Genomic DNA, 26,355 nt, shown 5'->3' with positions numbered 1-26,355 from the left:
TTAGGTGCACAACCATGTAAAGGTACTTAATACTACAAAACTGTACACACTTAAAATGGTTAAGATGGTAAACGCTGTTATGTGTATTTATACTGCTGGCATAGAATTTAGAAAAGAGCCCTAGAAATTAAAACCGATGGATAAAATAAAAATTTCAACAGGTTTAGAAAGTAACATTCAGAAAAACTTGGTAGAAAATATAAATAAGAACATGATCTGGAAGCTAGATCATTTCCTAAGCATGAAATAAAAACAGCAAACTATAAAGAAAACACTAATAGGACCAGATTAAAATTAAGAACTTGTTTCAACCTATAGGCACTAAAGACGGAAAAGAAACCACAGAAGTGAAAGATTATTTCTACTACGTGTAACTGACAAAGGATTAGTGCACAGAATGTGTAAAAAAAATATATGAGTCTGTTTCTTCAAAACTTGAAACACTGACCAGGCGCAGTGGCTCACACCTGTCAACCTAGCACTTTGGGAGGCCGAGGTGGGTGGATCATCTGAGGTCAGGAGTTTGAGAGACCAGCCTGGCCAACAAGACGAAACCCTGTCTCTACTGAAAATACAAAAATTAGCCGGGCATGGTGGCGCGCGCCTGTATTCACCATTCAGGAGGCTGAGGCACAAGAATCGCTTGAACCCTGGCAGTGGAGGTTGCAATAAGCCAAAACCATGCCGCTGCACTCCAGCCTGCGCGACAGAGCGACACTCCATCTCAAAAAACACTCGAAAGACTTTAAAACTTTAAAAGAACACAAGCTGATGTATAAATCCTAGAAAAGTTCTTGCTCACATGAAGATTTATAATGGCAAAATGTCCATTAACAGTACAATGAATAAATATTTTACTTCCTACAATAGAATATCACATAATAGTTCAAAATGAACAACAATCATCTGTATTAACAGTGATCAATCTCAAACCATACAGAATGAAAGAAGTAAAAGAATACATACTGTACAATTCCATTTATAACCTTTCCAAAAACAGGCACCCCGTTTTATCACCTAGCGCAAGGGTTGGTAAACTAAGACCCGCAAGGCCAAATCCAGCCTTCAACTTGTTTTGGTATGGCTTACAAGCTAAGAATGGTTTGTAAATTATAATTATTATTTTTAAATTATTATTTTTTTAGAGATGGGGGTCTTGCTATGTTGACTAGGCTGGTCTCAAACTCTTGGCCTCAAGTGATCCTCCCACCTCAGCCTCCCGAAGTGCTGGGATTACAGGCATGACCCACCATGCCTGGTTTGGTTTTTAAGTTATTAAAGGGTTGTAAAACAAAGAATATGTGACAATACATGGCCCACAAAGCCTAAAATATTTACTATTAGTATCTGGCCCTTCACAGAAGAATTCTGTCAATGCAGAATGAGGCAAGAAAATTGCTATCACAAAGTCAGAATAATGTTTATATCTGAAGGGGAAGAGTGGGGCAGAATGACTATAAATAGTGGGGAGATACACATGTCACTGCTAAGATACTAGGGATATTTATGGGCCATAATTGTGTGTTGGGGTTATAAGGAGACGTACACTTCATGATTATTCTTTAAAAATGCATACATGGCCGGGCACGGTGGCTCACCTGAGGTCAGGAGTTCGAGACCACCCTGGCTAACATGGTGAAACCCCATCTCTACTAAAAACACAAAAATTAGCTGGGCATGGTGGCAAGTGCCTGTAATCCCAGCTACCTGGGAGGCTGAGGCAGGAGAATCGCTTGAACCTGGGAGATGGAGGTTGCAGTGAGCCGAGATCGCGCCACTGCACTCCAGCCTGGGCAACAAGAGCAAAACTCCATCTCAAAAAAAAAAAGAAAGAAAGAAAGAAAGAAAGTATATATGTGTGTTTGTGTATCATCTTCTGAAATCTGAGATGCCATTATTTGTTGAACTACACCATTATTTTATGTACCAATAAGGAAAAATAAAAATAAAACCACTGGATAGAAGCAGACCTTAAGATGAGAAGAAAATAAAAATACTGCACTTAAACTAAAATAGCTTCTGATTAAAGATAGTCTTTTTTTTTTTTGAGACAGGTTGCTCTGTCACCCAGGCTGGAGTACAGTGGTGTGATCACAGCTCATCATAGCTCTGATCTCCTGGGCTGAAGCAATCCTCTTGTCTCAGCTTCCCAAGTAGCAAGGACTACAGGCATACGTCACCATGCCCAGCTATTTTTTTTTTTTACTTTATGTACAGACGGGACCTCTCTATGTTGCCCACATTGGTCTCGAACTCCTGGGCTCAAGCAATCCATTCACCTTGGACCCCCACAGTGCTGGGATTACAGGTATGAGCCAATGTGCCTGCCTATTTATTTTTTTTCTTTTTCTGTTTTTTGAGACAGAGTCTTGCTCTTGTCGCCCAGGCTGGAGTGCAATGGCACAATCTCGGCTCACTGCAACTTCCACCTCCCGGGTTCAAGCGATTCTTCTGCCTCAGCCTCCAGAGTAGCTGGGACTACAGGTGCGTGCCACCATGCCCAGCTAATTTTTCTATTTTTAGTAGAGACGGGGTTTCACCACGTTGGCCAGGTTGGTTTCAAACTCCTGACCTCATGATCCACTCTCCTCAGGCTCCCAAAGTGCGGGGATTACAGGCTTGAGCCACTGTGCCCCGCCTTTACTTTTTTTTTTTTTTTTTTTTTTGATAGAGTCTCGCTCTGTCGCCCAGGCTGGAGTGCAGTGGCGCAATCTCAGGTCACTGCAAGCTCTGCCTCCCGGGTTCATGCCATTCTCCTGCCTCAGCCTCCGGAGAAGCTGGAACTACAGGCACCCGCCACCATGCCTGGCTAATTTTTTGTATTTCTAGTAGAGACGGAGTTTCACCATGTTAGCCAGGATGGTCCCGATCTCCTGACTTCGTGATCTGCCTGCCTCGGCCTCCCAAAGTGCTGGGATTACAGGCGTAAGCCACCGCACCTGGCCTACATTTTTTAAAAAATAATTTTTAGTCTGATTTTTGAAGGTGATAAAACATGGGGGGAAAAAAGTGTATCTTAGAACTTATGAAATAACTACTACGTGTCACAATATTTTTTTAAAGAAACAAGACAGTGGAATAATACCTTCAAAGTTCCAAGGGAAAATGATTTCTGATAGAGAATCCAATACAGAAATAAACTACTGATCAATTTGAGAGCAGAAAAACATTTTCAGAATGCAAGAAATTTATACTTCATGACCATGGAAGATATGAACCACCCTAACATGGAAGAGTGAAACAAGAGTGAGAAAAAAAGGGGGATCGATAAAGAAGAGTAAGGAAAATTGCCAGGGTGACGGTAAAGAGAAGGCCCAGGAACATAGCTAGGCAGTAGGACACCGAGAGTGCACACAAAAGGAGAAACAATCATAGTATATTATGTTTGAGTCTCAGCCCTGAAAAATATCTGTAATACTGAAATGTGGCTTACAAAGGATGGTGTGTCCTAGCATAACTAGCAACATCTTTTACTTTCTTAGAGATATGAAAATAATGGATGCCTTATAATTGATGATATCATATATAATGAAGTACAATATATCAGGAGGATAGGAAAAGTGTGAGTATGTTGGCTTAAGAAAGCTAAATCTTTAGCTTCAGAAAGTGAAGTTAACAGACACTGCTGAAAATGGAAAAGCCAAGAGGTTACAATAAAAAGATGTTAATTAGGCAGGGCGCGGTGGCTCATGCCTGTAATCCCAGCACTTTGGGAGGCCGAGACGGGCGGATCACGATGTCAGGAGATCGAGACCATCCTGGCTAACACGGTGAAACCCTGCCTCTACTAAAAATACAAAAAAAAAATTAGCCGGGCGTAGTGGCAGGCGCCTGTAGTCCCAGCTACTCGGGAGGCTGAGGCAAGAGAATGGCGTGAACCCAGGAGGCAGAGCTCGCAGTGAGCAGAGATCGCACCAATGTACTCCAGCCTGGGCTACGAGCGAGACTCTGTCTCAAAAAAAAGAAAAAAAAAGTTAATTAGAAATACAGGGCCGGGCGCAGTGGCTCACGCTTGTAATTCCAGCACTTTGGGAGGCCGAGGTGGGCGGATCGCAAGGTCAGGAGTTTGAGACCAGCCTGGCCAACATGGAGAAACCCTGTCTCTACTAAAAATACAAAAATTAGCTGGGTGTGGTGGCACATGCCTATAATCCCAGCTACTCATGAGGCTGAGGGAGGAGAACTGCTTGAACCCGGGAGGTGGAGGTTGCAGTGAGCAGAGATCCACCACTGCATTCCAGTCTAGGTTACAGAGCAAGACTCCATCTCAAAAGAAAAAATAAAATAAAAAAATAAAGAAATACAGGAATAAAAGTTGGGAGAAAAACTAAGGAGCTGAAAGTAGTTGCAGGTTTTTCATTAAAAGCCTAGATATACTATAGACATGTACTGTTATAATTAAAAAAAAAACTGAATTAGAATAAAGGTAGAAAATGAGAAAAACTTGTGAGACATGAGGATTTCTGATATGGAGAGGTCTACACACCAAATAATCATAAGATGAGGCATCTCAGCCTCTAGACATCTACTTTCCATTGTTTGAAAGAATTCATTTCATCACTAGTGAATTATAGGCACATAAATGGAAATGATACCTTCCATTTAGCTTGCATTAGTCAGTTATCAGTTCTAACAGGCTGAATTGACTAACAGGAAGACATGCAAGGCTGGGCGTGGTGGCTCATGCCTATAATCCCAGCACTTTGGGAGGCCAAGGTGGGCAGATGGCTTGAGGTCAGGAGCTGGAGACCAGCCTGGCCAATGTGGCGAAACCCTGTCTCTACTAAAAAAAAATACAAAAATACAAAAGTTAGCTGGGCATGGTTGCGCATGCCTGTACTCCCAGCTACTTGGGAGGCTGAGGCAGGAGAATCACTTGAACCAAGGAGGTAGAGGTTGCAGTGAGCTAAGATCATGTCTTTAAAAAAAAAAAAAACAAAGACATGCAAAAGCCAAGAAACATTTTATTGCCTTTGTGCAGCTTCATCATGAATCTTTAAAAAAACACTCTAAGTATGCTGAAAACTCCATAAATAAAAACTATGATAGAAATGTACACTAAGTGCAAGTAAAATTTTAAATAACAACACTGCAAATAAAGCCTAAATATGGTCTCATAAGGTAAGACTCAGATGCTGGGTGTTTACCTTTTCTTTGTAGACACCTTTAACAACATCAGACATCCTATTCTCCAAAACGAGTTCACCTGGCATTCTTGATGAACTTCCAGGTAAAGGTGGAAAATTTGAGGCTAATAAGTCAAACTTTGGTGTTGGAGCCTTTGATTCAGCTGTTGAAGGATGAGGTCTCTAAAATGAACAAATAATAAAACAGGTCACATGGCTATCTCATTCCCTAATCCTGTGTCACAGAAGCTGAAAGGTGCAAGAAAAGAAAAAGAAGCAAACAAAACCTCTATAATGCACAGAACTGTATCCCTACATAAATTCTTGGTTTGACATCTCACTTGAGCTCTCATCAGTCTTTATCAATTCTACTTTTCTTTAGTCACTTCTCTCACCTGTTTCTTTTGTAAACTTTGCCATACTCCTTAAGCCTTCTAACCAGTCTTTACTATTCATTTCATAATTTGCTATGCCTTCTTAACAAAAACACCCACTTTACCTAAATTTGCTATCAACTCTTTTTTTTTTGAGACAGGGTCTTAGTTTGTCACCAAGGCTGAAATGCAGTGACACAATCATAGCTCACTACAACCTTGACTTCCTGGACTCAAGTAATCCTCCTGCCTTTTTTGCCTCCAGAGTAGCTGTGCGCGCCACCACACCTGGCTAAATTTTTATTTTTTGTTTTTTAGTAGTGACAAGGTTTCACTACGTTGCCCAGGCTGGTCTCAAACTCTTGAGCTTAAGTGATCCTCTCTCCTTGGCCTCCCAAAGTGCTGGGACTACAGGCTTAAGCAACTGTGCCCGCCCATCACCATCTTTCTCCATCTATTTATCTCAAGAGAAAACAATATCCCTCCTCTATATAACATATATGAAAAATCTCATGCTTCCCTCCTGTCTAACACCCTATATATCCTCTGACAAGCCTCTTACCTCTTACTTGTATCTCCTCCACTTTGTCATCACTCCACTAAAATTATTTTAGGTGTCACCAATGCCTTCAACAATGCAAAACCTGACAGACCCTTTTTCCTGACCTCTCATTTCCTGACATATAGCATTTGGTGTGTTAACCATCCTTTCCTTGGGAACACATTTTTCTCTTAGCTTCTGTGATACCTTTTTTGTTTTTTAGATTTGACAGACATGTGCTCTTTTTCCCCTGACCATTTCTAAAATTTTGATGGTTTCCATTTGGTTATTACTCTTTACTTCTCATATTCTCCTTGAGTGATGTCCACTATCCATGGCTTCAACTACTACCTATATGCAAGCAACTGTTAAAACAACCTGTTTTGCTTTTTGGTGGTGATGGCGGTATATCTCTGTAAATTTACAAAAATATCATTGAATTGTAGGTTTTAAATATTTTCAGCCTAGGCCTTTGCCTACAACCGAGATAACATTTGTCCATTACCCATGTCCATTCAGATTTTGCTTGAATACTTCAAACAGCATGCTGAATAATCTCATTTTTCAACCCAACACTGCTGCTTTATTCCCCAAGGTTCCATATTAGACCACTTTCACCACTCTATGGAGAGTACTCTGCATGAGCTTATCACTCCAATTACTATGTGAAGGCTTACAAATCCAAAATTTTATTCCCAGCTAAGATCTCCCTCCTGCAAAAGAGCTCCTCTACCATGACCTACCTACTGGAAGTCATGCCTGTTTCTTTAACCCCAATGTTTAGTCCTCCATCATGACATTTACAACATATTGAATAAACCCCAAATCTAATCTCTCTTTTTTTTTTTTTTTTTTGAGACAGAGTCTGGCTCTGTCGCCCAGGCTGGAGTGCAGTGGCATGATCTCAGCTCATTGCAACCTCTGCCTCCTGGGTTCAAGTGATTCTCCTGCCTCAGCCTCCTGAGTAGCTGGGACTACAGGCACCCACCACCATACCCGGCTAATTTTTGTATTTTTAGTAGAGATGGGGTTTCACCATGTTGGCCAGGATGGTCTTGAAATCCTACCCTCAGGCAATGCACCCACCGGGGCCTCCCAAAGTGCTGGGATTACAGGCGTGAGACACCACGCCTGGCCTGAGCCACCATGCAGGGCCTAATCTCTTATTCCAAATTGTTGAGGGCCACTTGAGAAGTCATGTGGACTGCTACTATGGAATGCTAAGAAAGAATTGTTGGGCTGAGTGCAGTGGCTCATGCCTATAATCCCAGCACTTTGGGAGGCCGAGGCAGGTGGATCACCTGAGGTCAAGAGTTTGAGACCAGCCTGGCCAACATGGTGAAACCCTGTCTCTACTATAATACAAAAATTAGCCAGGCACGGTGGCGAGCGCCTGTAATTCCAGCTACTTGGGAGACTGAGGCAAGAGAATCACTTGAACCCAGGAGGCAGAGGTTGCAGTGAGCCGAGATCACGCCACTGCACTCCAACGTGGACAACAAGAGCGAAACTCTGTCTCAAAAAAAGAATTGTTGGTCAGGCACGATGGCTCACGCCTGTAATCCCAGCACTCTGGGAGGCCAAGGCAGGTGGCTCACCTGAGGTCAGGAGTTCGAGACCAGCCTGGCCAACATGGTGAAACTCCGTCTCTACTAAAAATACAAAAAATTAGCCAGACGTGGTGGCAGGTGACTGTAGACCCAGCTACTCGGGAGGCTGAGGCAGGAGAACTGCTTGAACCCGGGAGTCAGAGGTTGCAGTGAGCTGAGATTGTGCCATTTGCACTCTAGCCTGGGTAACAAAAGCATTTAAAAGATTTAGTATACCCTAAAAACAATTCTAAGTTATAATGGAACATATTTTCTTCTTTGAAAATGGGTTTCTTCTCTCCTACTTCTGCCATGTATAAACTGTGTGGTCCCCATTTGCCTTCAGCCATGATTGTAAGTTTCCCAAGGCCTCCCCAGAAGCTGGGCAGATGCCTGCATCATGCTTCCTGTACAGCCTGCAGAACTGTTAGCCAATTAAACCTCTTTTCTTTATGAATTATCCAGTCTCAAGTATTTCTTTACAGCAATGTGAGAACGGCTTAACGAAAATTGGTACTGAGGAGTGGAGCACTGCTATAAAGATAACTGAAAATGTGGAAGCAACACTGGAACTGGGTAACAGGTAGAGGGTGGAAGAGTCTGGAAGGCTCAAAAGAAGATAGAGATGACGAACTTCCTAGACTGGCTTTGGAGCCTCTGACTCAATTTCAGAGGATGTATGGCATCCTCTGAAAGAAACTTATACCAGCCTGGTATAAGTCCAGACAGAAACCTGCTCCAGGGGCACAGATCTCATGGAAAACTTCTACTAGGGCAGTGCAGAGGGGAAATACGGGGCTGGAGCCCTCACATCAAGCCTCCACTAGGGCACTGCATAGTGGCAGAAGAGGGCCACCGTCCTCCAGACTCCAGAACAGGCATAGAAAAGCCACAGGCATTCAACATGGGCCCATGAGAGCAGCCTCCAGGGTTGATCCCTGCAAAGCCAAAGGGGTGGAGCTGCCTAAGGCCTTGGGAGCCCAACCCTTGCATCAGTGTACCCTAGGTGTGGGACATGGAGTCAAAGGAGATTATTTTGTTTATTATTTTTGAGACAGAGTCTCACTCTGTTGCTCAGGCTGGAGTGCAGTGGCACAATCTGCACTCCACCTTCTGGGCTCAAGGGATCAGCCTGCCTCAGCCTCCCAAGTAGCTGGGACAACAGGCGTGCACCATGGTGCCTGGCTAATTTTTTTTTTTTTTTTTTTTTTTTTTTTGGAGAGATGGGGTTTCATCACCTTGCCCAGGCTGGTATCCAACTCCTGAGCTCAAGTGATCCGTACATCTCAGCCTCACAAAGAGCTGACATTACAGACTTGAGTCGCCATGCCTGGCCAAAGGTGAGTATTTTGGAGCTTTGAAGATGTCCTGACCGTTCTGCTTGGTTTTGCACTTGCATGGGGCCTGTAGCCTCAAGTGATCCACTGACTAAGCCTCCCAAAGAGCTGAGATGACAGGCACGAGCCACGGTGCCTGGCCCGCAAGACCCCGACTCGAGAGGAGGATCACTTAAGCCTGGGATGTGAAGGCTGCAGTGAGCCATGATTGTACCACTGCACTTCAGCCTGGGTGACAGAGCAAGACCCGTTCCTCCTCTGCCTCTCCCTAGAAGTCCTTAATCTTGTACCAAGCACAGTGGCTCAGGCCTGTAATTCCAGTGCCCTGGGAAACAGTAATATCCTGTGTCTTGGAAAAGAAAGAAGAAAGAAAAGGTAAGGAAAGTTAGAAAGACTTCGTGTTTTTATTTAAAAATCATGTGAATACATTAGATCTTCAAATAATTTTTTTAAGCAAGCAACACAAGCGAAGCTCCTTACTACATGTGTGCTAGAGGGTGGGTATATGGGTGGTGGTGGTAAAAATTTCAGGGTTAAATTTAGGCTCTATTTACCTTTGCTGAAGACTACAATCAATAAAACAAAAACCCAGAAAGGAAAGACCGAAAGTCAATGCCATAGTAAATCACAGAAGAGAAAAAAGTCTGAATAAAAGTTTTAAAAAACTTACTGAGATCCTGTCATCTTCTCGTCGTCTTCGACCTCTGAAGAGAGTTCTCCTTTTAATAAGAAAAAGGTGGGGGTGGGGTGGGGTGGAGGGACAAGTCATAAGTTTCTTCAGATATATACATTCTATCAAAGCCGTACACATTTTTTTTTTTTTTGAGATGGAGTCTCGCTCTGTCGCCAGGCTGGAGTGCAGTGGCGCGATCTCGGCTCACTACGAACTGCCTCCCGGGTTCAAGCAATTCTCCTGCCTCAGCCTGCTGAGTAGCTGGAATTACAGGCACGTGTTGCCACACCCAGCTAATTTTGGTATTTGTAGTACAGACAGGGTTTCACCATGTTGGCCAGGATGGTCTCGATCTCCTGACCTCATGATCCGCCTGCCCCACCTCCCAAAGTGCTGGGATTACAGGCGTGAGCCACCATGCCTGGCCAGCTGTATACATTTCAATTTAAACATCTTTCTACATTTGGGGCTAGTTTTCTCTATTACTAAAAGATAATATATTATTCTGAGGGATCTTGAGCCAATTTACTAAAAACTTTACCTACTACCACACCATAAAGTAAGATGAGCCCATTTGTTAGTAGTGATCCCTTCAAACCAGAACCATACTATTGTTTAATTAGGCAAGTTGGCAATATATAACCTCACCCCTATAGTTTATTTATATTTTGAGACAGAGTCGCGCTCTGTCACCCAGGCTGGAATGCAGTGGTGCAACCTTGGCTCACTGCAACCTCTGCCTCCTGGGTTCAAGTGATTCTCCTACCTCAGGCTCCCAAGTAGCTGGGATTACAGGCGCCTGCCACCATGCCCAGCTAATTTTTGTATTTTTTCATAGAGACAGGGTTTCACCATGTTGGCCAGGCTGGTCTTGAACTCCTGACCTGAGATGATCCTCCCACCACGGCCTCCCAAAGTGTTGGGATTACAGGTGTGAGCCACCGCACCCAGCCACTTCTATAGTTTAAAAGCTGGAAGAAATTAAAACCATAAGGCAAATGGATATGTTAATTTTCTAAGCTATTCTTTCTTATATGAGCTATAAGGAACTTCAGAATAACTTTATAAACCTCTGATTCAGAGCTATATTCTGTATGGGCACTCTATTTCTTAATAATTATAAAAAGCAACCAACTCATGTTCTGAAAATAACGTATTTATTTAATATAACCATATACCAATAATTAAATGCTCATTTAATTATTATGAAGATCATGTTCTTCAATTATTCAGGATGATCACATTATTATCAAAGGTTTTCAGGTACTTTATTTTCTTACCTGCCCCTACCATAGTCCCCATTCTGTTCCACCTGCAAAGTGGAAGTCTCCTTCTGAAGGTAAGTTTGCTCCTGATGCCCAGTTACTGTGGGGTTATGCCGTTCAGCTGGAAAGTTTCTTGAACTATATCTGTTCAACTGTCCATCCCCCAAGGATACAGAGCCCTCTGTTGAGTGTTCTGAACCACCAGATGACCTAAACTGAGGCTTCACACTATAGGAAATACAAAATGATATACACAAAGCAGTAAATCGAGACAGAAAAACATCTTTCCTTAGGTAAAAAATTGGCTCCTGTTGTACTGGGGTTTTCAAAAAATTAAGTTAAACACAAAAGAATAATGTTGTAAAAGTGTTGCCCCTTTTACATTCCAGATGTTATTTTAAAAAGTGACGTAAACTTTTTTGAGATGGAGTCTCGCTCTGTTGCCCAGGCTGGAGCGCAGTGGCACATCTCAGCTCACTGCAAGCTCTGCCTTCCGGGTTCACGCCATTCTCCTGCCTCAGCCTCCCAAGTAGCTGGGACTACAGGCGCCAGCCACCACGTCCAGCTAATTTTTTGTATTTTGTTTAGTAGAGATGGGGTTTCACCGTGTTAGCCAGGATGGTCTCGATCTCCTGACCTTGTGATATGCCTGCCTTGGCCTCCCAAAGTGCTGGGATTACAGGTGTGAGCCACCGTGCCAGGCCAAAGTGAAGTAAATTTTACATTAAAAAATGTTGTGGGCTGGACACAGTGGCTCACGCCTGTAATCTCAGCACTTTGGGAGGCTGAGGCAGGAGGATTGTTTGAGATCTGGGGTTCGACACCAGCTGGGGCAACACAGCAAGACCCCATCACTGCAAAAAAAAATTAAAATGTGCAGTGGTATGCACCTATAATATGCCCAGCTACTTGGAAGGCTGAGGCAGAAGACTGCTTGGGCCCAGGAGTTTGAGGCTGCAGCGAGCTATGATTGCACAACTGAATTCATGCACAGGCATCAGAGAAAACCCTATCTCTAAGACAATAATATACATATATTTTAAGTTGTGTTTGGAGAGACGGGGGAAAATCCAAAGTTCTTTGAAAGAAACTTACTTCTACCTTAATACTCAGAATTAGGATTTTAGCTAATGTCACTGGAGGCACTCTCGACATGTTTAAATCAGCCAGGTTTTAAGCTTATGAGTCTATGCAATGCATTCTTCTTCTTCTTTTTTTTTTTTTTGGTGAGATGGAGTCTTGCTCTGTTGCCCGGGCTGGAGCGCAGTGGTGCAATCTCGGCTCACTGCAACCTCTGCCTCCCAGATGCAAGCGATTCTCCTGCCTCAGCCTCCCAAGTAGCTGGACTACAGGCATATGCCACCACACCCGGCTAATTTTGTATTTTCAGTAGAGACAGGGTTTTGCCATGTTGGCCAGGCTGGTCTTGAACTCTTGACCTCGTGAACCGCCCACCTTGGCCTCCCAAAGTGTCGGGATTACAGGCATGAGCCATCACACCTGGCCTATAACACCCTTTTTTTTTTTTTTTTTTTTTTTTGATACGGAGTCTTGCTCTGTCGCCAGGCTGGAGTGCAATGGCGCGATCTCAGGTCACTGCAACCTCCGCCTCCCGGGTTCAAGAGATTCTCCTGCCTCAGCCTCCCGAGTAGCTGGGACTATAGGCACGTGCCACCACACCTAGATAATTTTTGTATTTTTAGTAGAGATGGGGTTTCACCATGTTGGCCACGATGGTCTCGATCTCCTGACCTGGTGATCTGCTCACCTCGGCCTCCCAGAGTGCTGGGATTACAGGTGTGAGCCACCAGGCCCAGCTATGCATTCTTAATGGAAGCAAAACCACGCTAATGGGAGTAAAAACGGGGGCGAAGGAAGGGCAAAAAGTAATCATTTTATGTATAAAGCACAGATACATACATTACATACATACAGACATACAATAATCTGTAGTAGTAAATTTTCACAGGCAGAAACTAGGAGGAAAATGCCTAAAAAGGCTGTTTAGGGGAGTAATAATGAAGAGAGTAAGAAATATTGGAATATAATTAAAATCCTAGCCTCAGCCGGGCATGGTGGCTCACGCCTGTAATCCCAGAACTTTGGGAAGTGGAGACGGGCAGATCACCTGAGGTCAGGAGTTCTAGACCAGCCTGGCTAACATGGTGAATCCCCATCTCTACTAAAAATACAAAAATTAGCCTGGCATGGTGGCAAACACCTGTAATCCCAGCTATTCAGGAGGCTGAGGCAGGAGAATCTCTTGAACCCAGGAGGTGGAGTTTGCAGGGAGCCAAGATCACACCATTGCACTCCAGCCTGGGCAACAAAAACAAAACTCCGTCTCAAAAAACAAAACAAACAAAACCTAGCATCTTACTAAACATCCATCACCAAATGAGATTTATCAAAAGATCCATATGTAGGACAGCAAACTAGGAAAATACCAATGCACCCAATAGCATGGCATGACTGCATGAATTAAGGTATGCAATGTGGTTAAACCAACCAATCTGCTTTTAACAAAGGGAGTTTTTATCTTGGATGATGGGTATAAGCACCCAACTTCCTAAAAGCTTACAACAGATGAAGCTAAGGTTGACTAATATAAAAAGAATGTAGTTTAATCAGTAGCAAAAACACCTAAAATCTCAAGCAACTGAGGATCTTGGATCTACAGATTAAGAAGAGTGAGATTTATGTTTGGCCCATTATTTGCAGTTTATATATCTCAGTTTTTGTAATCTATTTTCATAGTTATAAACCAACAATATAAATCACATGTTGCCAATTCCTGACTCTAGGAATAAGGATTTAAAACCTCTTGAATAATTATAACCCCACCAATTAAACGTAAATTCCCACAGCATCTCTAGTTGTCCTGTTTTATTCTTTACAGACCATAAAAAATTACCATTATTAAAACTTAAAGTAGCTGGGTGTGGTGGCTCACACCTGTAATCCCAGCACTTTGGGAGGCCAAGGCGGGTGCATCACGAGGTCAAGAGATCAAGACCACCCTGGCCAACATGGTGAAACCCTCTGTCTCTAACTAAAAATACAAAAACAAACAAAAAACAAAAACAAACAAACAAAAACAAAGATAAAATTATCAGGCTGGGCGCAGTGGGCTCAGTGGCTCATATCTGTAACCCCAGCACTTTAAGAGGCTGAGGTGGGAGGATCATTGGAGCCCAGGAGTTTGAGACCAGCCTGCACAACATGGCAAAACCCTGTCTTTACAAAAAAAAAAATACAAAAACTTAGCTAGGCATGGTGGTATGCGCCTGTAGTCCCAGCTACTAGGAAGGCTGAGGTGGAGAATTGATTGGGCCTGGGAGGTCAAAACTACAGTGAGCCATGATCATGTTACTGCACTACAGCCTGGGTGACAGGGCAAAACACTGTCTTAAAAAAAAAAAAAAAAGTTGGGTTGAGTTTCACATAAAGTGACACTTTGCCATAGAATTACTTTATATTACAAACTAGATTTCTTAAATAGCAATGAAAATAGTATGTCACTTAACAAAAAGTAATTTTTTTTTTTTTTGAGAAAGGTCTGGCTGTGTCACCCAGGCTGGAGCGAGGTGGTGCGATCTCAGCTCATTACAACCTCTGCCTCCTGGGCTCAAGCTATCCTCCCACCTCAGTCTCCCAAGTAGCAGGGACTACAGGTGCACACCAGTATGCCTGGCTAATTTTTATATTGTCAGTAGAGACGAGGTTTCACTCTGTTGCCTAGGTTGGTCTCCAACTCATGAGATCAAGTGATCTGCCTGCCTTGGCTTCTCAATGTGTGGGGAATATAGGCATGAGCCACCCCACTGGCTATAAAAAGTAATTTTAAAAATAGTTAGGCCAGATGCGGTGGCTCACACCTATAATGCCAGCACTCTGGGAGGCCAAGGCGGGTAGATCACCTGAGGTCAGGAGTTCGAGACCAGCCTGGCCAACATGGTGAAACCCAGTTTCTACTAAAATACAAAAAATTAGCTGGGCGTGGTGGCATGCGTCTGTAATCTCAGCTAATTGGAAGGCTAAGGCAGGAGTATCGCTTGAACCCGGGAGACGGACGTTGCAGTGAGCCGAGATCCCGCCATTGCACTCCAGCCTGGACAACAAGAGCAAAACTCCGTCTTTAAAAAAAAAAAAAAAAAAAAAGGCCGGGTATGGTGGCTCATGCCTGTAATCCCAGGACTTTGGGAGGCCAAGCTGGGTGGATCACGAGGTCAAGAGATTGAGACCATCCTGGCCAACATGATGAAACCCCGTCTCTACTAAAAATACAACAATTAGCTAGCACATGCCTGTAGTCCCAGCTACTCAGAAGGCTGAGGCCAGAGAATTGCTTGAACTCGGGAAGCAGAGGTTGCAGTAAGCAGAGACTGCACCACTACACTACAGCCCGGTGACAGAGCACGACTCCGTCTCAAAAAAAAAAATTTATATTACCTGTTACATCTTGAAAATGAACTGATATGATAGATATGGTATTTGCATATGTTTAGAAAATGTCCTTCATCCAACTTTCACACTACATTTCAATATGCTTAAGGGACAACTTACTACATTTATACAGCCCTCAGATCTCATAATCTTACCCTTCACTGAGAGGGACTTAACAATCTCGATCCAGGCAAAAGAGAGAAAGAATGAAGAAAGAAAGAAGTGATAAAAGACAGAAAAGAGAAGTAAAGTGAAAGAAAGATAGTATGAAAGGTAGAAAAATGCCTGGATTTCTGAAAGTTAGTCCTATTCTCTCTAAGTAGGAATAGTGATCATCACTGGGCTGTCACAGGTTAATATAAAAATTGCAAAAGGCTCTCTAAAAAAGACTTTGTCCTTAGCTGTTAACATTAATAATAATAATAAATGCCTGGCAGTAGTCACTTTTTAGAAGTAGTCACTTTTTAGAAGCAAGAAGGAAACAAGGATTTGGGTTGCTGGTCCAGAAGGTCTTTATTTGCATTTTTAGAAAAAGTATTCACTAATTATTTCTGTAATTAAAAATTACCAACCTGTATTGGTCAAATATATGGAAAAGAACTGTACACAAGTGGTTTTAAGTAACATGCAAAAATGTACTAAACACACCATGTATTTTCAAAACCATAGGTATACTTCCTTATAAGTAAAGATAACTTGACTGTCATTCCTGGCTGTCACCAAAAAGATGCAACGGATAAAAGGTAACAATAAAGAAATAACCATGGAGCCAAGTAAAGTATTTCAGAGTCAAGCAACTGCAAATATCAGTACCTTTATTTTTTGGAGGGGGGAGCGGGGAGGGGTGAGAGGGCGTGGCTGCAGGGAATAACAGAGTCTCACCGTCACCCAGGCTGGAGTGCAGTGGTATGATCTCGGCTCACTGCAACCTGTGCTTCTCAGGCTCAAGCAATTCTCGTTCCTCAGCCTCCTGAGTAGTTGGGACTTCAGGCATGCACTACACCACCACGCCCAGCTAATTTTTGTATTTTTGGTAGAGATGATGTTTCGTCATATTGCCCAGGCTGCTCTTGAACTCCTGAGCTCAGATGATCCACCCACCTCAGCCTGTGTTTATGTTTAGTAGTAAAATTTTTCTAACACTTGAAAATGATCTTCAATTGCTTTAACCAATTGTGTCTGTCAAGAATAGTCCAAAAACTCTGACTATTAAAGAGTAGTACACAATGTTTCCAGTGAGAAGAATATTTTTTCATTCTGTTGGGGCTCATTTCTCCAGTAAAACAAGTTTCAGAAAAACCTGTCAAAAAAGGACTAAGTTCCTAGAAGTCATCTTGGAAAAACATACTCCAGATGGTCTCCTTTCCAAAAGAAATAATTAGAAGAATCGAATCTGGCAAAAGACTGTCACTGAAAATAAACCATTAGGAAAAACCCTCAAAAACCAAGAGTCTCACAAAACAGCAAACGAGAAGTAATAAATGTGAAACTATTAAATAAATCGAAATGACTATATGTCAGTCCTTTATTCTTTGGTTACTCATACTGTGTTAAAAGCCATAGTATCACGCCTGTAATCCTAGCAATTTGGGAGGCCAAGGTGGGAGGACTGCTTTGAGCCCAGGAGTTCAAGACCAGTCGTCCCAGGCAACATAAACAGACCCTGTCTCTACCCCCACAACAACAACAACAACAAGCCATAACATACACCAAATATTGAGATTATCTGTTGATGTCTACATAAAGAAAAATACCTCAGACATACATCTCAATCTTTATGATAGCATATAGTTTCTATGATTCTTAATAATTTATCCTGAACATAGTGCTTTAAGTGCGGGCTTTGGAGTTGAACTGCCTAGGTTCAAATCTTAGCTCTACCAATTACTAGCTGTGTGTTCTCAGACATGATATTTTACATCTCAGATTCCTTATCTGTAAAGTAGACATAAGTGCACCTATAAAGGGTTCTGAAAAAAGTAACTGATAAAATATGTAAAGCCCTTAGGAACAGAGTTTGTGATATTAAATGTGCAATAAATGTTAGCTACTGTCTGTTGTGCACTGTAGTTCTTGGGTGTCATTTCAAAAATCCTTTAAAAACCTGAATAACATACATCCCAACATTTATTACACAATTCAGTTAACAACATTTATATCTTCAAAGAATTCATTCTCTAAAATGCTACCCATTTAACATACTAAATGGAAATTAGTCACCAGATTTGTCAGAGACTGGTGTCATGAAATATTTTTTCTATTCTCTTTTATTATTAAAAAAAATCTGAATCCCAAGTCTGTTACATGCATTACCAACTCAAAGGTCAAAGTGTTTTTACGAATTCTAGATTAAACTGTTCATATACACTTAGTAAAAACAAAACAAACAAAAAATCCACCAAACCTTATTACTGAGCCTGACAACAAACATTGCTATTAATGCCTTAAGATCCATTAGGAATTGTTTAAAATACATTACAGCTATGGTTTTTATCTTACCGATTTTTTTGGAATGGTCGACCCATATTCATAGCAGCAGCATTTGTTTTATAAGATCCTGGCGAATTAAAGCCATTCACAAAACTACCATTGGGAAAGGGAGCCTAGAAAAAAATGTATGTTTAAACAATATTAATGGCAAAGGTAAAATCTGGTGTGAGGGTCACAAGAACCTTAATGAGCTTATGAATTTATCTTTTACAAGCCAAAAATATCTTAAAATATTTTACTGATTCATTTCTGCAATATTCACTTCAAGTACCACTGGATTTATGAACAATTCATAACTTAGTAAAGAATGTCTGGTCTGACATTTCGCAACACTAAAATGCATTTAAAATCACGCAAAAGTTATCCAGTCTCTTCTTTCAATTCACTCAGCAAATTTTATGGAATAAAATTATGCGCTCTAATAGCTCACCTCTTAGTCATATGCATTTATTTGGTATGGAGAATTAGATATCCATATCACTGTTTAAAAGCCAAAAAGTGGCCGGGCATAGTGGCTTGTAATCCTAGCATTTTGGGAGGCTGAGGCGGGTGGACTGCCTGAGCACAGGAGTTCGAGACCAGCCTGGGCAACATGGCAAAATTCCATCTCTACGAAAAATACAAAAAATAAAATAAAATAAAGGCCAAAAAGTCATCAATGTCAACATAAATGAGCTCCCACTCCAACTGATTTCTTCAAATTTCAGCTCAAATTAAAAATATTATTATATTTTATTGTAAGGATCTCACTTACCAGTGGTGTTTCAAAGTAAGGTGTAGGATTTGGAGACCAAGACTGAGGCACAATACTATAGACCGAGTACTGTTGGTGAGGATTATATACAGGCTGCATAAAGACTGGGGAGGCATACTGTGCTTGAGTTTGAATGGGGTGACTATAGATACTAGAATCCATTAATCGATAACCATTCTTAGCAAAAAATGTATTGATGGCTTTTATCCTTGCCTAGAAGAGGAACACATTATAGCAACAAAGAATTAAGTGTATATTTTAAAAAATACATTTAATTTACATTTTAACATATATTTTACATGACTATACTATTTCTGCCTACAGTAGAATCAGTAGAGCAAAAGAAAAGAAAATGACAGCTTTAATTAATTAATAAATAATAAAAACGTTTTCATGGTATAAAAACCATAGTAAACAAGGTAAAACCCCCCCCGCCACACACAAACACACGTCAAAATAACCAGGTGTGCTGGCTCACACCTGTAACCTGAGCACTTTCAGAGGTCAAGGGGGTAGGATCGCATGAGCCCAGGAGTTCGAGGCCACCCTGGGTACCACAGTGAGACCCATCCCTTACAAGGAAAAAAAAAAAAAAAAAGCTGGGCATGGTGGCATGCAACCTGTAGTCCTAGCTGCTTGGGAGGCAGAGTGGGGAGGACTGCTTGAGCCAAGGAGCTGGAGGCTGCTGTGAGCTATGATCGCACTACCACACTCCAGCCTGGGCAACAGAGCGAGACCCTGTCTCTAAACAACAACAACAAGCAGAGTAAAAACCTCCCAAAAAACTAAGTCAAAACAGTAAATTGTAGCTCATCACAGGCAAGGGTACTAGTATCTCTAATACACGAATTGTAAAAACAGACATGAAAAGGCCCAACAATGCTATGAACAGCGTTCACAGAACAAAAAAAGGCAAACGGCTCTTAAACATATGAAACAGATGCTAAACTCACTCATAAAAGAAATGCAGGCATATGTAAAAATGCTCAAAATCACTAATCATCAAAGAAATGTAAGTTGAAATCACAAGATAGCATCTCACATCTATTAAAATGGGTGCAGCAAAAAAAACAACAGGAAGTGTTAGAGAAGATATGGAGAAAAGGGAACTTTTGTACACTGTTGCTGGGAAGGTAAATTAGTATAGCCAGTATGGAAACTAGTATGGAGATTCCTCAAAAGTTAAAAATAGGCCAGGCTCAGTGGCTCATGCCTGTAATCCCAGCACTTTGAGAGGTTGAGGCGGGCAAAGCACTTGAGGTCATGAATTCCAGACCAGCCTGGCCAAAATGGTGAAACCCCGTCTCTACCAAAAACACAAAAATCAGCTGGGCATGGTGGCACACGCCTGTAATCCCAGCTACTTGGAAGGCTGAGATTGCAGTGAGCTGAAATTGTGCCACCGCACTCCAGCCTGGGCAAGAGCAAGACTCTGGGTCAAAAAAAAGTTAAAAATAGAAGTACCGTATGATCCAACAACCCTATGTATATCCAAAGGAAATGAAATTAGTATGCTGAAGGGTATCTGCACTACTGTCTGTGTTGCAGCATTACTTATAGTGGCTAACATATGGAAACAACCCGGTGTCCACAGCAAATGAATCGATGGAGAAAACGTGGTGTACACACACACTGGAATACCATTCAGTTGTTTATTTATTTATTTTTTTGAGACAGAGTCTTGCTCTGTCGCCCAGGCTGGAGTGCAGTGGTGCAATCTTGGCTCACTGCAACCTCCGCCACCTGGTTCAAATGATTTTCCTGCCTCAGCCTCCTGAGTAGCTGGGATTAGAGGCACCCACCAACACGCCCGGCTGATTTTTGTATTTTTTTTAAGACACAGAGTCTCACTCTGTGGCCCAGACTGAAGTGCAATGACACGATCTCAGCTCACCACAACCTCCACCTCCTAGGTTCTAGCAATTATCCTGCCTCAGCCTCCAGAGTAGCTGGGATTACAGGCACATACAGCCATACCCAGCAAATTTTTTTGTATTGTTAGTAGAGACGGGGTTTCACCCTGTTGCCCAGGCTGGTCTGGAACTCCTGAGCTCAGGCAATCCACCCGCCTCAGCCTCCCAAAGTGCTAGGATTACAGGCATGAGCCACCGCGCCTGGCCTTGATTTTCATATTTTTACTAGAGATGGGGTTTCACCATGTTGGCCAGGCTGGTCTTGAACTCCTGACCTCAGGTGATCCGCCTGCCTTGGCCTCCCAAAGTGCTGAGATTACAGGCATGAGCCACCATGCCCAGACCCATTCAGTCTTAAAGAAGGAAATCCTGTCATTTGTGACAACCTGAATGAACCTAGAAGACATTATGCTAAGTGAAATAGGGCAGGCACATAAAGACAAACACTGCATGATCTCACTTGTATTTGAAATCTAACAAGGTGGAACTCATAGAGACAGTATAATGGTGGTTACCATAAGCTAGGGATAGGGGGAGGCAGGGACTGGGGAAATGTTTCATAGGGTATAAAGTTTGTGTTAGAAGAAATAAGTTCTGGAGAGCAGGGTGATGATAGTTAATAATAATGTATTATGTAATTCAAAATTGCTGACTTTAAATGTTTGCAATACCAAAAAGGCATGTATACAATTTGATTTGCCAACTAGAATAACTTAATAAAGCTGTGGGGAAAAAATATACCCACGTGACTATTCACTAACACTAATTGTAAAAGGTGAGGAAACCTATGGGCCCCAGAAGCAACCCAACAGTCCATCACCAGTTGAACACAACGTGTACATCCAAACAACTGAGTATCATAAACGTAAAAAAGAACTGAAAAAATGCTCTAAACACCATTATGAAGTGACTTCCAGAATACACTATTAAGTCAAAAAAAAATTAACAGGAGACAAGGCAGCCAGGCACAATGGCTCATGCCTGTAATCCTAGCACTTTGGGAGGCCAAGACAGGTGGATCACCTGAGGTCAGGAGTCAAGACCAACCTGGCCAACATAGTGAAATCCCATCTCTACTAAAAAAATACAAAAAATTAGCCAGGCATGGTGGTGCACACCTGTAATCCCAGCTACTCGGGAGGTTGAAGCAGGAGAATTGCTTGAACCCAGGAGGCGGATTTTTTTCCGAGATTTTCATATGGGAAAAAGGAGAAACAGACATGAGGCAGAAGAAAGGAAAACCATACAGCCTGAATTTAAATTGTAAGCATCAGTACAAACCTACATTTTTGTCTTAAAACATAAAAACTAAACAGCTCTGTCTAAAAAAGCTTAGAAACAATGACAAAACCAGTAGACACAAATACTACTTGTGTCTAGGCAGTGGTCCACAAAATACCATTTCCCCATAAAGTAGCCTAAGGATTTAAAAGAACTGGTTGACTCCAGTCCTTTGGCATGAAATGTGTAAGAGCCTGGAACATCTTGACAAACTGCACAGCAAGGTAACCAGTAAAGATTGCTACGGCTGGCCAGGCAGGGTGGCTCACGCCTGTAATCCCAGCACTTTGGGAGGCTGAGGCGGGCGGATCACGAGGTCAGATCAAGACCATCCTGGCCAACATGGTGAAACCATGTCTCTACTAAAAACACAAAAAATTAGCTGGGCGTGGTGGTGCACACCTGTAGTCCCAGCTACTTGGGAGGCTGAGGCAGGGGAATCGCTTGAACCCAGGAGGCGGAGGTTGCAGTGAGCTGAGATCGTGCCACTGCACTCCAGTCTGGCAACAGAGCAAAACTCCATCTCAAAAAAAAAAAAAAAAAAAAAAAAAAAAATTGCTATGGCTGTATAACAAAAGGTCTCAGGAGTCAATTCAAAGAGGCCAATATCAACACGAACAGTAAACACCCCAAATATGTTTAAATATTCAAAACCGAAAACAGATAAAAATTGGCTAAAAAATCAACACTTTTAAAAACTGGTAATAAAAGCCAGAGTCAAGCATGTAACATGGATTTCACATAGAACCTGTAACTCAGGGTAATGAAGATGAGTAAGAGTTTCTAATAAATGAAAAATAGATAGAGAAATACCACAATTTTAGCAATCTCTAATGAATTAACAGACCAATGAGCATAGCAGCTAGCTTTTGTATCCTCTCTATTGCCCCAAAAATCAAACCCTTGCTACCAAGGTAGCAAGGCATCATGCCTCTTGCTACCAAAATGCATGAAATATGGGAGACAGATCAGTATCTAGCTACTTTCCATGATAGCCATGTCTTTAAAAAACAGAAAAAGAAAAAAAGATCTAGCGACCAATTTGCATGAAAAACAGGAGAGAAAGGACAGAGAATCATGTTAAACTGCACTCAAGAATAAAGGCAGCAAAATCTATATTCCAAGAAACACTGCAAGACAGATAATGATTATCTTACCCATAAACTTCCAAAAGAAAAAAATACAAAGTTATAGGAAAAAACTACAGATTTTTATTTTTTATTTTACTTTCTTTTTGGACACAGTCTTGCTCTGCCGCCAATGTTGGGGGTGCAGTGGTGTGATCTCGGCTCACTGCAACCTCCTCCTCCAAGGATCAAATGATTCTCGGGCCTCAGCCTCCCGAGTAGCTGGGACTACAGGCATAAGCCACAAAGCCTGGCTAAATATTTTTGTATTTTTAGTAGAGACAGGGTTTCACCATGTTGGCCATGCTGGTCTGGAACTCCTGGCCTCATGTGATCTGCCTGCCAAAGTGCTGGAATTACAGGAACGAGCCACAGTGTCCAGACCAGATTTTTAAAGAGGAAAAAACGAGAAAGAAGGGGAATCAGGAAAATATGAAAAGTGACTAGGTACTTGATAATGTTCAAGACATTGTTCATTTTTAAAAGTCTAATGATGATATTGTCGTCATGTATTAAGAAAGAATCTCGGCTGGGTGCAGTGGCTCACGCCTGCAATCCCAGAACTTTGTGAGGCCAAGGCAGGCAGATCAACTGAGGTCAGGAGTTTGAGACCAGCCTGGCCAACATGGTGAAACCCTGTCTCTACTAAAAATACAAAAATTAGCCAGGCGTGGTGGTGGGTGCCTGTAATCCCAGCTACTCAGGAGGCTGAAGCAGGAAAATTGCTTGAACCCAGTGGGGCAGAGGTTGCAGTGAGCCAAGACCACACTTCACTCCAGCCTGGGCATAAGAGCAAGACGCAGTCTCAAAAAAAGGGAAAGAATCCCTCTTGATAGAGATACAAATCTTAATTTATTTATGGATGAAATCTGAAATTAAGGTTGAAATTTGCTTCAAGATGACTGGGGTTGTGGAGAGAAATGAGTGGGAATATAGAGGAAACAATGGCCATTTTCTACTAACTGTTAAAATTGGGTAACATTTATAGAGTTTCAGTCTTATAAAAAGAGTTCTGGAGATAGATGGCAGTGATGGCTGCAAATCATTGTGAATGTATTTAATAGCACTAAACTGTACACTTAAGAACAGTTAAGATGGGGGGAAAAAGATAAAACAAACAAAAATAAGAACAATTAAGATGGTATATTGTATGTCCATTTTGCCAAAATTTTAAAACTGGGGGCTGGGGCCAGACCTGGTGGCTCACTCCTGTAATCCCAGCACTTTGGAAGGCCGAGGCGCGTGGATCACAAGGTCAGGAATTCAAGACCAACCTGTCCAAGATGGTGAAACCCCATCTCTACTAAAAATACAAAAATTAGCTGGGCGTGGTGGCAGGTGCCTGTAATCCCAGCTACTCGGGAGGCTGAGGCAGAGAACTCCTTGAACCTGGGAGGCAGAGGTTGCCATGTGCTGAGATTGCGTCACTGCAGTCCAGCCTGGGCAACACGGCAAGACTCCGTCTCAAAAAAAATAGAAAAAAATGGGGGGGGAGTGGTGCGGAGCTGGGCCCAGTGCCTGACACCTGTAATCACAACACTTTGGGAGACCAACGTGGGAAGATCACTTGAGTCAGGAGTTTGAGACCAGCCTGGGAAGACAGCAAGACCCTGTCTCCACAAAAACAAACAAACAAACAAAATAATTAGCTACTCTGAAGGCAGAAGGATCCCTTGAGCCCAGGAGTTCAAGGTGGCAGTGTGCTATGATCACGCACACTGTACTCCAGCCTGCGCAACAAAGTGAGACCCTGTCTCTTTAAAAAATAAAATAAAATAAATAAAACTGGGGGAAAAAATTGGATAATGGGTAAACAGTAACTAATTATACCATTTTATCAATTTATATGCTTCAAATTCCTATATTACTTTTAAAAAGGAAAAAAATGCTCTAACACTTGGTAAATTTATAAAGCAGACCATTTTATGCACTGCTTGTGGCTGCTTTTGCCCTGCAAGTTGCTGCAACAGGAATTACATGGCCATCAACATCTATAATATTTACTGTTTGGCTCTTCAAAGAAAATGTTTGCTGACCCTTTTAATAAAACCACAGGCTGAGTATGCCTTACCCAAAATGCTTGGTACCAGCTTTTTTTGTATTTAGGAATATTTGCATTGTATTTTCCAGTTGAGTATCCCAAATCCGAAAATCCAAAAGGCTCTAATGAGCATTTCCACTGAGCAGCATGTTAGTACTCAAAAACTTTTCGATTTTGGAGCAATTCAAATTTAGGATTTGGGATGCTCAAGCTACATAATATGAAGATATAAGAAGGTTAGATTAGAAACCAAAGGCACACCAAGTTGCTGGGAATATCAAATGAAATAACACATGTGAAAGCATAAAATTACCACTGCAATGAATGTATGAAAGATACATTTTATGATCCTTACAGCCATAGGCCAGGAACCCTCCTCCACTCCTAAAATTGCAATCAGTCAAACAATAAGAAATCAATTATGGCCAACCTTGACAAACTGATTTTAACAAGACCTAAAAAATAACTATGGCTATTGCTTTTACCTAAGTAATGTCATACATTATAGTACACTTTAATGTTAAAATGTCCCCTAAGGAACTAAAATCAAGTAAACAGCATTATTTTAAAAATACAGTCCACTAGGCCGGGTGTGGTGGCTCACGCCTCCAATCCCAGTACTTTGGGGGGCTGAGGCGGGCGGATCACAAGGTCAGGAATTCGAGACCAGCCTGGCCAACATAGTGAAACCCTGTCTCTACTAAAACTACAAAAATTAGCCAAGCATGGTGGCATGCGTCTGTAGTACCAGCTACTCGGGAGGCTGAGGCAGGAGAATCGCTTGAAACCCAGGAGGCAGAGGTTTTGGTGAGCCAAGATCATGCCACTGCACTCCAGCCTGGATAACAGAGCGAGACTCCGTCTATAAAAAAAAAAAAAAATATATATATATATATATATAGAGAGAGAGAGAGAGAGAGAGAGAGAGAGAGAGAGAGAGAGAGAGAGAGAGAGAGAGAGAGAGAGAGGGAGAGAGAGAGACCACTAGTCAAGAAAACAGCAATTGGTCAGGCGCGGTGGCTCACACCTGTAATCCCAGCACTTTGGGAGGCTGAGGTGGGCAGATCATGAGGTCAGGAAATCGAGACCATCCTGGCTAACATGATGAAACCCCGTCTCTACTAAAAAATACAAAAATAAATCAGCCAAGCGTGATGGCAGGCGCCTGTAGTCCCAGCTACTCAGGAGACTGAGGCAGGAGAATGGCGTGAACCCAGCAGGCGGAGCTTGCAGTGAGCCGAGTTTGTGCCACTGCACTCCAGCCTGGGCGACAGAGCGAGACTCCGTCTCAAAAAAAAAAAAAAAAAGAAAAAAGAAAAAAAGAAAACGGCAATGAAAGAAATATTTCAGGGCATGGAACTGCAGGTGAAAAAGAATCAAAAAAAGGGAGGGAAAATA

General features: G+C 42.1%; 1 protein-coding gene and 1 non-coding gene across 63 annotated transcripts in view; both read right to left on the bottom strand.

Moving 5' to 3' along the window:
• LARP4 (La ribonucleoprotein 4) overlaps positions 1-26,355 on the bottom strand; it is a 79,120-nt gene that overhangs the window by 7,737 nt on the left and 45,028 nt on the right. For 32 of the 62 annotated variants that reach the window (NM_001352306.2, XM_047428212.1, XM_047428213.1 and 29 more), the window contains 5 exons: positions 18,596-18,808; positions 17,851-17,954; positions 10,921-11,133; positions 9,638-9,686; positions 5,148-5,309 (listed from right to left, as the gene is read on the bottom strand). In NM_001352306.2, the coding sequence (NP_001339235.1) occupies positions 5,148-5,309; positions 9,638-9,686; positions 10,921-11,133; positions 17,851-17,954; positions 18,596-18,808 (741 nt within the window). Of the gene's footprint in view, positions 1-5,147; positions 5,310-9,637; positions 9,687-10,775; positions 11,134-15,839; positions 17,955-18,595; positions 18,809-26,355 lie in introns of those variants that run through there. The other 30 variants (NM_001352317.2, NM_001352320.2, NM_001352319.2 and 27 more) reach the window with 6 other exon arrangements.
• Positions 15,482-15,697, bottom strand: SNORD133 (small nucleolar RNA, C/D box 133). The gene has a single exon (NR_132753.1). It is a non-coding gene; the product is annotated as a small nucleolar RNA, C/D box 133 (small nucleolar RNA).

The sequence above is a fragment of the Homo sapiens genome, chromosome 12 (assembly GCF_000001405.40).
Source record: "Homo sapiens chromosome 12, GRCh38.p14 Primary Assembly".
Classification (NCBI taxonomy): Eukaryota; Metazoa; Chordata; class Mammalia; order Primates; family Hominidae; genus Homo; species Homo sapiens.
This window is presented reverse-complemented; position numbering and strand designations above follow the sequence as displayed.